The 12,315-nt window shown below is 42.6% G+C and overlaps 1 long non-coding RNA gene across 3 annotated transcripts in view, besides 2 other annotated features; it reads right to left on the bottom strand.

Annotated features, from left to right (window-relative positions):
• Positions 1-12,315, bottom strand: part of PCMTD1-DT (PCMTD1 divergent transcript) — a 50,575-nt gene that overhangs the window by 15,492 nt on the left and 22,768 nt on the right. The gene's annotated exons all lie outside the window — the stretch shown is intronic.
• Positions 1,117-1,246: a silencer, noted in NCBI's record as "silent region_19187". NCBI's record gives its function as "represses an Ori minimal core promoter by ATAC-STARR-seq in GM12878 lymphoblastoid cells {active_cell/tissue: GM12878}" and the evidence as "EXISTENCE:reporter gene assay evidence [ECO:0000049][PMID:35858748]".
• Positions 8,169-9,368: an enhancer, noted in NCBI's record as "MED14-independent group 3 enhancer chr8:52837590-52838789 (GRCh37/hg19 assembly coordinates)". NCBI's record gives its function as "activates an origin of replication core promoter dependent on BRD2, BRD4, P300/CBP and CDK7 cofactors, and independent of MED14, by STARR-seq in HCT116 cells {active_cell/tissue: HCT116}" and the evidence as "EXISTENCE:reporter gene assay evidence [ECO:0000049][PMID:35650434]".

Raw genomic sequence — 12,315 nt, 5'->3', positions numbered from 1 at the left:
TTTTGCTGTCATTTATAATTTGAAAAAATGGCTTAAGAGCATAGACCTAACTGGACACATTTTGTGAAAAATAAGCTTATGGCTTTGATAGGTAGAATGGCATCCTTGCCTCCTGGCTTCAAATTCACACAGCATGCTGCATGGTGTTTGAGAGTTTGCCTGGAGCCTGAGATCTGAATGTGCCGAGACCAGCTCTGTCAGGGAGACCCTAACCCAGTGGCGCTAGAGGAATTAAAGACACACACACAGAAATATAGAGATGTGAAGTGGGAAATCAGGGGTCTCACAGCCTTCAGAGCTGAGAGCCCCAAACAGAGATTTACCCACATATTTATTAACAGCAAACTAGTCATTAGCATTGTTTCTATAGATATTAAATTAACTAAAAGTATCCCTTAAGGGAAACGAAGGGATGGGCCAAATTAATTGCAGCAGGAACACGCCCTTAAGACACAGATCGCTCAGGCTTTTGTTTGTGGCTTAAGACTGCCTTTAAGCGGTTTTCCGCCCTGGGCAGGCCAGGTGTTCCTTGCCCTCATTCCTGTAAACCCACAACCTTCCAGCTTGGGCGTTAGGGCCATTATGGACATGTTACAGTGTTGCAGAGATTTTATTTATGGCCAGTTTTGGGGCCAGTTTATGGCCGGATTTTGGGGGGCTTGCTCCCAACATGGATGAAACTTTCCACATTATGAAGAGACAGACACAGAGGCAGAGACACCAGGAGGGGTCAGGGTTGGCTGAGGGTTGTCACCTCTCAGCCTTGTCATTTTGGATGTCAGCTGTACTGCCTGGTGTTGTATCTTTAAAACAAGCCACAGATATTTTTATAACACTTGGGAAAGTTATATTGGCTAAAGGAGAAAAAAATTACAGAATTAACTGAGGTCTACTACAATTTAGTCATCCCTTCAGCCAGGCTCTAGACAAACCACTGGGGTTAACAGAATGCATAGTCAAGTTAGGGTAGCCCCTACCCATAGCTCTCCAGGGAACTCCAAATCTGTGATCCTGTGGTGCAAGACATCCTAGGCTCACCTGCCCTGAGTGGACCTCATCTCACATCCTCATGCTTCCCCAACCCACTGGTTCTGTGCCCTTCCTCAAACATACTAAGCACACTTCCTCCCCACCCCCAGGACTATTGCACTGCTGTTTCTGTGGCTAAAAGATTTACCCTCAGATAGTCTCACATCATCCAGGTCTCTGCTCAACTACCAGCTCTTCACTCAGACCTCCTGGCAACAGTCCTGTCCTTATCTGGAGACTTCTCATTCTAACACAGGTCATCTCTTGGCCTGCTTCATTTATCTCAATACTACTCACCTTTACTGGATAATCATCAATCTACTTGTTCACAGGTGTATTGTTTGTCCCCTCACTAGAATATAAACTCCATGAGGGCAGGGACTTTGTTTTGTTGATGCTGTGTTTCCATGAATTTATCACAGTGCCTGGAACATAGAGGATAACTGATATTCGTTTGGGGGGAATGAATAAATGAATGAAGATATAATTTCTGTGGGGAGACAGACATGCCATAAATTATTGCATGGAAGCACAGAGTTCAAGTCTTTCTAGGGAGGAGGTAAGAGGAAAGGCTTCTCAGACAAGTGACGTTTGTGAGGGATCTTGAAGATAAAGAGATTGGTGCTAGGCAGAAAAGGAGGAAAAGGCACCCCATTGCAGGAGGAAACCCCAAGTGCACAAAGACATGAAGTTAAAACACTGTTAGGGTCAAAGAAAGGTAGGAGGTTTGGTGAGCATGGGAACATAAAGTGAGGCTGCACTGTAAATGCTTCCTACGCTATGTGTCAGCAAGTGGAGAAACTATGACTGTCACAACGTCAGGCACCATATCCCTCATAGGAAGTCAGGGTCTTGGCATACTCAAGCTGGTTTATTTGAGGAGTATTAACAAGTTATCTGCAAAGGTGGGTCTGAGTTTAAAGATACCAAGAAGGAATAATGTCACCCCCTAGAGAGCCTTTGCCAGCCCTAGGCCTGAAGGAGCAAAGGAAGGAAGATCAGAACCCAGAGAGGACAACTAGAAGAAACACAGAGCACCCTCAGGACCTGGTGCAGAGCAGGCGCCAGGGGAGGTCCCTGCCACAACTTGCCTTCCCCCAGGCCCGTGCCATCTCTTGCTGCCTCCCATTGGTTGAACCAACCTGGAGGCCTAAGATAAGAGGTTTTTGCTGATGCAGTTCCCACCCTTCCTGGACCACAGAGCAGGACAGCAAGAAAATTCTGAGGGACAACAAGAAAATACCCAGCACTGGAGAATTCTCTTTAGTGGGAAGAATGCTTTAGCACCTTGAGATAGATGGTGAGACCCAAAAGTCATGTCCAGGCAGCTGAAAGCATTGCTAAAAGCCTCACATGCAACAGTGAGAGAAGCTTTGTTTTGCCCCAAAGAAGGAGATGAGGGAAGAATGTGGAGAGAGAAGAGAAAAGGGAGGGAGAGAACCACTGTGTCTAGCCTGTACACAGTGTAGCTCCTCCTCAAGAAAGAACCACAGGTGTTCAGTGACTCTGTATACCCCAAAGTAGACACATTGTGTGACCATATCACTGATTTATTTTCTTCTGGAAACTGATCAAGAAACTAGGTTTCCTTGGAACTAGGTTTCCTTGGAACTAGGTTTCCAAGGAATCAAAACAACTTGGTGGTACCCAAGGACAGCCTTTGCACAGAAGTGTGAAGGCAGAACAGGCCCTGAAATCCCTATAACTCTTTCAGGGCTATTGGTCTTCCACAGACTGTAAAGTTGCCAGGGTTTGCTCAGTTTTACATAGATCTTACAGTTCCAAACTATTATGGGTTATTTTTTGTTTATTTATTTATTTATTTTTTGAGACGGAGTTTCACCCTCGTTGCTCAGGCTGGAGTGCAACGGCGTAATCTTGGCTCACTATAACCTCCACCTCCCAGGTTCAAGCAATTCTCCTGCCTCAGCCTCCTCAGTAGCTGGGATTACAGGCATCCGTCACCACACCCAGCTAATTTTTTGTATTTTTAGTAGAGATGGGGTTTCACCATGTTGGCCAGGCTGGTCTCAAACTCCTGACCTCAGGTGATCCACCCACCTTGGCCTCCCAAAGTGCTGGGATTACAGGCGTGAGCCACCATGCCCGGCCGGGTTACTATTATTAAGAAGTTTGGGATTTTTTCTCCAAGTAATAGTCAAGATATAAAGGCCTTAACGTAGAGGGTGGTCACGGTGGTCATGCGAAAGTTGGGCTGGAGTTGGGAGAGACTGAGAACGGAGTGGTCACTTAAGAGGCTAAGGAAATAGCTCAGGCCAAAAAGACAATGCCCTCACCTATGATGAGGCCAGGGAGTTTACTCTTGAATCTTCTTGATGCACTGTTCCAAACTTAAGTCATAAATATCATCCTTAATAAAATCACTCAGAGCCTGTATGATTTCACTTAGCCTTAGTCCTGATGCTGTTTCATTTAACACCTGCCATTTGTTCAATTGCCGCTAATCACTTCCTGTGTGCATTTTCTGAGTTTCTTTCTCTCTATCTGTTTGTTTGTTTGTTTTAAATAGGGTAACAACTTCGCTTTTCTCTCCCTTGCAGTGTGACACTGTAGCTCCTCTACTCCTCACCTTCTGTTGGTTTTGTAAATTAATCATTTTAACCAGGGAATGCTGGTTTCACCTTCCAAGATATAAATCCTTCAAGGTTCTGTTATGTCATATTGGAAGACAGAAGACATTTTTTTTTTAACTAAATGGCATTCTTTTTCTTTAAGAGATAGTGAAGAAAACAAACACTGATTTTTCAGTGGTACGCTCCTTTTTATTTTCAACTAAGACTAGCAGGGTGCTGGGCCATAACATAGTAAACTTGAGCATTTTGAAAAGATCAGAGCTTTTGTAATACCAAAAACATAACCAAAATTCACTGTAGATAACCCCCACTGTCCCACATGCTTATCTAAAAAGGCGTGACTTAAAAGGAATGTCAAGATTTAAAATGCCATTGTCTTTGGTGTAGACAACTTCCTAGAATTCAACAGTTCTATTTCCTGTAATTTTCATCTTGGGGAAAACCATTAATTCTACGAGATGTGATATTTATTTATGGCTCTGTTTTTTAAAAATTGTCGGACATGAGCCATTTTCCAATACTTACATAAGGACAAAGTTACAAATTAAGCCTTGGGTAATATTCACCTGCAAATATTCTCATGTTTATCAACTCAAAAAAAAAAAAAACCCCACACACTTTCATGTACTAAATACATGCTATGGCTAAAAGAATACGTATTTTAATAGCAGGATCCATCTTGAATTTTTCCTTATTTTTGATAAACCTAGTTAAACCATTGTTGGACTTTCTTCCATGGTGTATTGCAGGCACACTAAACAAAATCCCAGGGTACAAAATTACACTCATTGCTTAGATGCTGGGCTCACACCTAGACAAATGGTATGTTTTTAAAAATACATGCACCAGAGTTGCTTGAATCTCTCAATTGCTTTTCAGCAGTTTATAAAACAGTAAAAGAATTAAAGACTCTAATGTGGTTTAATGTCAGGGATTAAATTAGAAATGCTAAATAAAGAAACCTGCTCTTATTCAAAGAACATGCATTTGCATGTAAGATTCCAGCATAACTGTTACTAAGTCTTTTATTTCCATCTCATCTAAAATGACAAAGAATGGAAAAGCTCAGGCAATTTGTCCAATTAAATTATAATATGGGAGAGACATGGTGGCTCATGCCTGTAATTCCATTTTGGGAGGCCAAGGTGGGATGATAGCTTGAGGTCAAGAGTTCGAGACCAGCCTAGGCAACATAGTGAGACCCATCTCTACTAAAAAAAATTTAAAAATTACCCAAGTGTAGTGGCACATGCCTGTAGTCCCAGCTATGCAAGAGGCTTAGGCAAGAGGATTACCTGAACCCGGGAGGTTGAGACTGTAGTAAGCTATGATCATGCCACTATACTCCAGCCTGGGAGACAAAGTCAGACTCTGTCACTAATAAATAAATAAATTAAATAAATAAATACATAAAATTACAATATATATTCAAAAGTTATAAGTTTGATTGAAATTTAATAAGGGTGACTTGTGTTTCTCAAAGTGCAATCCTCAGACTGATGAACAGGAGTGGGACATGACTTCTCCTTCATACATTTTTTATTTTTTTCTTCTCTTCACAAAACCCACACCACTACTTCATGGATGGTATACCCATTAACCCTGAGGCTTCTGTCACACAAAGCAAATAGCCATTCTTCTGTGCTCTCATAATGTTCAACCATTCCTTTTACTTAGAGAATTCCAGAAACTGACCTTAGGAGAGCTAAACATCAAACAAGGTTGCGAGTGTCCTTCCTTGGGAAGAAAAACTGAAAAATTGATTACTGCTTCGCTGCCCCCACCAGACCACCAGGTGGTTCATTACTCAAGAGAACCATCACAACCAGACATGCTGACCTGCATCCCCTACCCTTCACATGCTTTGCCCAGCCCAGCCTGCATACACTAGTCTTGAAATCAATTCCCATGTTTTGTCTAATTAAAAAAAAAAAAAATCCCTAATGGCGTTTCTTTGGGAGCTAGCCAGAGGATCTTTCTCACCGTTGCTGTCTCCCTTGCACTTGAGCATAAGCCCCATAATAAAAGTCTTATCTGGAAAATCTGCTTGGCCATGAGTTAATTTCCATTATATGGGTAGCCAAAGAGCCTGTGGTCTGTAACAAAGCTACCTCTATCAGAATTATCTGAGATGTGTATCAAAAATACCATTTCCTACATGTAGCAAGAAAGCCTTGGCCACTCTTGGATCCCACAGTTTGCGCTCTTGGCTCACTGCCATGTGGCCATGCTTCCTTCACCTCTGCAAAGCCGGCTTTGATAAACTGTCATAAGGAATATCTGGCACTGCTACTCCAGGCTCCAGATAAATGCCAACATGGGAACAGAACAAAAGCATAAGGTGATGATATGGTTTGGATTTGTGTCCACACCCAAATCTCATATTGAATTGTAATCCCCAATATTGGGGGAGGGATCTGGTTGGAGATGAATGGATCATGGGGTCAATTTACCCCCCTGCTGTTCTGGTGATAGTGAGTGAGTTCTCACTAGCTCTGGTTGTTTAAAAGTATGTAGGGCTTCCCCCTTTGCTCTCTCTCTCTCTCTCCTGCTGGCCATGTGAAGATGTCTTTGCTTCCCCTTCACTTTCTGCCATGATTGTAAGCTTCTTGAAGCATCCCCAGCCATGCTTCCTGTACAGCCTATGGAACTGTGAGCCAATTAACCCTCTTTTCTTTATAAATTATCCAGTCTCAGGTAGTTCTTTATAGCGGTGTGAGAATGGACTAATACAGATGTTCTTTTTGTTTTTACACCTTGTTCTAGCACTTCTGTATGCTTAAGATTTTGTTATATTTTTGTCACAAAGTGAAGTTCCCCCCTTAGTACCCCTAAATAAGAAAGGTAGAGTTGCAATTTAATGCTACTAACAGCTATAAAAGAAAGCAGCAGTTTCCCTTGGCCAGGGCAAAGCAGCCACTACAAAACTTGACCATGGTTTCACTTCACAAACTGATAAATGGCACTCCTTATGTGCCAGGCAGTGACCTGAGTGCTTTACAATCAACGTTGACTTATGGAATCTTCTAGATGAGCCTGTGAGGTAGGTACTATTGTTAGCCTCATGATAAATAAGGAAAGAACATTTTTGTAGTCACTTCTCTGTGAGGTTTGAGGCTCAAGTTCTTGGAACTTTGAAACATCAGCCAACAACAAAACACTACCAACAAAAAGTTTGCTCCAGTAGAAGATGTGAAGCAACTGATGCATAAAATATCTTGTTATTTTTAAATGTTACTCTGGGTGAAAAATAAAAAGACTATTAAAAAACTCTTCTGTCAGTGGTCCCTTGGAGCTCTGAAGTAAATTTAAAACATAATGATTGGAAAGGAGCCTCCTTTCACACTTGGAAAAGAAGTCCCCAAAACTCTGGGTGCTGTCTGAGACCTTGCAACTTCAAATTGCTGGGGGTGGAGCCCAGGACACTAGGGTGGAGGCTGTCACTCCCCACACTACTGGGACTTAGAGACTCAGAGCCAGCTCTTGGTCCTCTCTGCAAAGAATACGTAGGAAGTAGTTTAATTTTCAGTAAAAGAAGAAATGTTTTTCAACGTGGTCACCTGCAGAAACTACAGTCCACCTTTATAGTGGTAAAATATAATTACGGTCTTGAGAATTTCCCTAAAAGATTCTGCATGGGTTGAAATTTGGGCTTCAAATCAGCAAAGGGAGGATGGGACACAGCTTCTGTGAAAGTTCCTCTAAGGAGGATGCAGCTTCAAGTGAGTAACCTGTGATACCTTTTCATTCTGGATGGATAGAAGAGCTTATCTGAAAATAAAACCTAAATTTGTGTGGGAGTTTTTTTTAACTCCTTGCAATACCCGGATGGATGGATGGATGGATGGATGCATGGATGGATTGAGACAGTGTCTCCTTCTGTTGCCCAGGCTGGAGTACAGTGGCACAGTCAAGGCTCACTGTAACCTTGACCTCGCAGGCTATGGGGATTTATTGCGAAGCAAGAAGTAAGTAATCAAGAAAGGGGAGTAGGGAGTGCAACTGTACTCGAGAGAGAGTAGCACCCAATGGGGTTTGAGGCTTCTACTTCTTTAACCAAGGAATATTCACACCGATTCCTGGAAAAAGGTGAAGATTCCTTGGAACTGCGGTACCACCTATTTTTACCCCAAATATAGATGTTCCCAAAACTGTCATGGCACTGGTGGGTAATGGATTTAATGTTTTACTGAGCATATAATGAGGTCCTAGGTAAAACCTAGGTCAAATCCAGCACCATGTTGGGTCCAGTTGGTCTCAGTAAGCTTGGTCCACTCCCTGGTTTTCAGGTTTTCTCATCCCCTAGCTCATGCAGCCATTTCAACAGTTTTCTTTGGCTAGCCATGTGAAACTGCTGCCTAGAATTTTCTCCTGTGACCACCCTGTATTATTTCTGTCTCAACCTGAGGAGCTCTTCTGGTAGTCTTCATGTGGCTAAAGCTTAAGTTACAACTAGCTGGGTGTGATGGCTCATGCCTATAATCCCAGCACTTTGGGAGCCTGAGGCAGAAGGATCACTTGAGCCCAGAAGTTTGAGACCAGCCTGGGCAACATGGTGAGACACTGTCTCTATAAACACACACAAAAAAATTATTTTAAAAAAAGAATGAACTGTTAATGCACAGAATAAATCATGGGCTTTGGAATGAGAATTGGGATTAAATCCAAAATTAGGTGACCTTGAGCAACACCTGTAAGTTTCTATTCTGTTTCCCCAACTATAAATGGAAATACGATTATTCATTCTTTCATTCTGTAGGGACTAATGAAAACTTTCCTTTCAACCTCTGAAGGTTCACTGAAAATAAACTGACAAAGGCAGATTGATAGGAGAAATGGCATACCCATTGATTAGTGTGCAGGGAGCAGGAGAAATCACAGAGTGATTGCTGCATCACGCATAAAGTATACAGATGGTTATATACCTTTCTTCTTAGGGGAAAGGACGATGGAAAAGTGTAGATTATTTTAGGGAGTAGTAAATTAGTTTTAGGGGAATTCGATGGGCTTGAAAAACACTCAGTAACCTGGGACAAACTTTGTTTGGGCCCACAGGGCAGACAATGGTTTCTTGCTTCCTGTGATATGAGTTTGAAATAGGCCCAACTGTCTCATAGAAATGATATATATGGGTTTTTGAATAACACAGAAATGGACCCTCCATCTTAATATTTAAAACTTATATTTGTCTTAACTGTGTTCCTTCTTCAGGAAACTGACCCTCAGGCAAGGGACTAAAACTCGTCAGATCACCGCATCCAGACAATGAGATGCCAGACCTCGTATCCATCATAATTGCTTCCTTACTCCTCCCTAATTTCTGTTTTCCCTGCCTTCCCCTCTATATAAATGATAGATGCAGGAGGCAGATAAGGGAGGCTACCTGGAGAATCTCCAATCCATCCCACAAGTGTTCATATCAGATGCTTTTGTGCAGAGGGGGAACATGCCCAGGGCCTTGTCTGGACATGCCCACAATGGACTGGGGGCCTGCCTGCACACTGGGAGTATGGGGTGGAGCCACCAGGGATCAGCACCTTATGCAGTAGGGAGGAGCCTGGACTCCTCAGCTTGTATGTGTGGTGCCCTGATATTCAATCTGTGAGGTGGGAGCCTGCTGTCAGGACCCCCTTTTTATTCACTGAGAGCTTTCTTTTAATAAATTCTGCTCTCCTCACCTTTCAATGTTTCCACATGCCTAATTTTTCCTGGTTATGTAACAAGAACCAGGATGTTAGGTGAACTAAGGAGCAAAAAATCCTGCATCATAAACATCCCAATTTTGGTCAGTTGGAGAGACAGATTTGAGACTGACCTCCTGTTCTCCTCCACTGAGCACCCAATAAAGCCTTCTTCCCTGGCAATACTCATTGAGTCAGTGATTGGCATTCTGTACATGGAGCAGCAAGTCCTAGACAGAATCCCTGGTGTTTCAGTAAAAAGTTCAGTTAATGAAAACTCAGGGAAGAAATCAGAGATAATTGTTTTCTTCTTTGGTAGGTCTGGACTTTGGGCAGACAAGGGAACTTCAGAGAACAACTTTAGCCTGTGTTTTGGGAGAGACAGAGGATTGAGAGACTAGAGAGAGGGGAGAGTCAGAGAGACCTTGAGGCTCCTTCAGTTCAGCATATCAAACTACCATATCTTGGAGTATCAGTTTCTAAGCCCTAACATTTTGTTCAACAAATACTTATTTAAGACTTACTTTATTAGGGTAAAAAGCTAAGCTACTGATGACTAAACTCTGATTTTTTTTTTATCTTGCCCAAATTCCTATCTAAGGTGTCTAGGGAGTCATGCCCTACAAACCATAGATTCTCATCAGACAGGTTTTATTTAACCCTATATATTGTGACTTATTTTCCAAACCTGATTCTGGCATAACTGTAAATTAAAGAAAGTGGAAAGAAACATGAAAAGTGGCTCCACAGTCAAAGACATATTTATTTTGGAGAATAAACCTGAGAGGGGCTTCTGGCCGATTTTGGTCAGGAATGCTATCTCTTACAGACTAAGAGAATTTATTGGTTTTAGGGTGAGAGAGCTTATCACAAGCTTGGAATGTTTCCGTGTAGGGGAGAAGTTTATGGTGGGGTTGGAATGTCTCTGCTCAGAGGGGAGGTTATCTCGGGGCTGACATCTTTCCGGCAGGACGGGGGTTATCTTGGGGCTGACATCTCTCCAGCCGGAGGGGAGGTAATCTCGGGGCTGGCATGTCTCTGGTCGGGGACAGGTTTATCTTATGTTTGGAATGTTTCTGGTGATAAATGTCATTTGTGCTTTATGATCATGCTGACCTTAGCCATTAGGCTGACGCCCTTTGGATTTGGGCAGCTTTTGATCAAGCTGAACTTTAAAATGGTGGTGCTCATCCAAGATGGCGATGCTCCTGTTCTGTCAATAACATTATGAGACAAGGGAGAAAATAAAAATATTTTACCGGCAAAACATGTTTTTTGTCACATTTTGAAATAGCTCTGCAAGCCATCCTTTGTGGGGGAAAATTCGTATCTGTAAAGAATCCCTATTAACACAACTAGACATTTTCCTTCCAGGCCCCTCCAATTCTAAATAGATTAACTGAGAGTCTAGCACTCTTTAAAGGGTCTGAATAGGAAACATTTGTCATCTATTGTTTCTAAGGGGAGCCGCCATGAGACTTCAAAAGAACTTTGGTTTCCACAATCTTCTATCTTTGTAAGGTCAGCCAAGAGAAAGGACAAGAGAGAGAGACCCAAGTTCAGGCAAACCTTTATTCAACCTGCCGGCTGCTCCATTACAGACAGAGGAGGCAGCCCTGAGCTTAAAAAATGAGGGGTTTATACGGGGCAGAGAGACCCTGGGGTTGTTTGCTGGTTAATTCTGCCACAAACCGCCTTATGATGTTTATGATACATGGGGGTGTAGGTAAATTTTGCTTATGCTTCCCACGACCTCCCCCGTGTGGTCTGGATGGTTTGTAATTGGGATTTGCTCATCGCAGCAAGGTCTGATAAGTGGTCTGCTGGCTCCACCACGGTGCCTAAATAAGGGCTTAGAAATGTAAAAAGTCTTAGGGGAAGGGGAGGGGTAGCCCGGAGAAGTTTAGAGGGGGGTTGTTGGCAGTACCAAGAAGCACTTTCAGGGTGATTTGTCCCTAACAATCTTAATCTGAATGTTTGCTTTCTATTGATCCCAGGTCCTTAGACAAAAACTCAATCAACTGTCAACCAGAAATGTTTAAATTTACCTATAGCTTGGAAGCTCCGCCCCCTTCAAGTTGACCTGCCTTTCTGGAACAAACCAATGTATTCCTTAAATGTATTTGATTGATAGATTATGCTTCCCTAAAATTTGTAAAACCAACCTGCACCCCAAACACCTTGGGCACATGTTCTCAGGACCTCCTGAGGGCTGTGTCATGGGCCATGGTCACTCATATTTGGCTCAGAATAAATATCTTTAAATATTTTACAGAGTTTGACTTTTCGTTGACACTACCATTACAAAGCGCCTCAACAATACAAAGACTCAAACAAAAAACCTACTTCTTTTCACATTAACAGTTGCAAGCTGTAAGCTATCTTTTTGGTGGGGCAGCTCTACTTTTGGAAGCGATTCATATTCAGGAACCTCATTCTTTCCCTTAGGGCATTGGTGACATCTGCCTGGCTGAAGCTGGATCACTGGGAGAAAGGGAAGGAGACCCTGGAGAATGCAGACACTGTCGTAAGGCATAAGTCTCCAAGGGCACAGATCACCACTGCTCACATTTCATTCATGAACATTTAGTCATTTGGCCAAGCCACTACGCAGCTTGCTGGGAAACATAGCCTGGTTCTGTACCAGGAAGTAGATAGATAGATTTTGTCCCTTCTAACAATCTTCACTAAGCCACTCCCTACTGGTCACTGTTGGCTTTCAGGATACAGCACTGAGAGAGAAAAAGGAACAAAGTACCTGCTAGCACAGAACTCACATACTAGTGGGGTAAGACTCACAAACACACATATGGCATCACTGCACATAGCTAAAAGAGCTACGATGAAAACAAAAAGGGGACCTGGGATGGAGAGTGACTGGGGCTGGGACAAGAAGGAAAACTTCTCTGAGGAGCTGATGTTTCAGATGAGATAAAGAGAGAATAAAGGATAGTAAAATATAAACTGCATAGTATGTAACAGGTTGTATGTCTACCAGAATTCTAACTATT

The sequence above is a fragment of the Homo sapiens genome, chromosome 8 (genome assembly GCF_000001405.40).
Source record: "Homo sapiens chromosome 8, GRCh38.p14 Primary Assembly".
In the NCBI taxonomy this organism is placed as follows: Eukaryota; Metazoa; Chordata; class Mammalia; order Primates; family Hominidae; genus Homo; species Homo sapiens.
The sequence above is the reverse complement of the archived record's forward strand: the minus strand, read 5'-3'. Positions and strand labels throughout refer to the sequence as shown.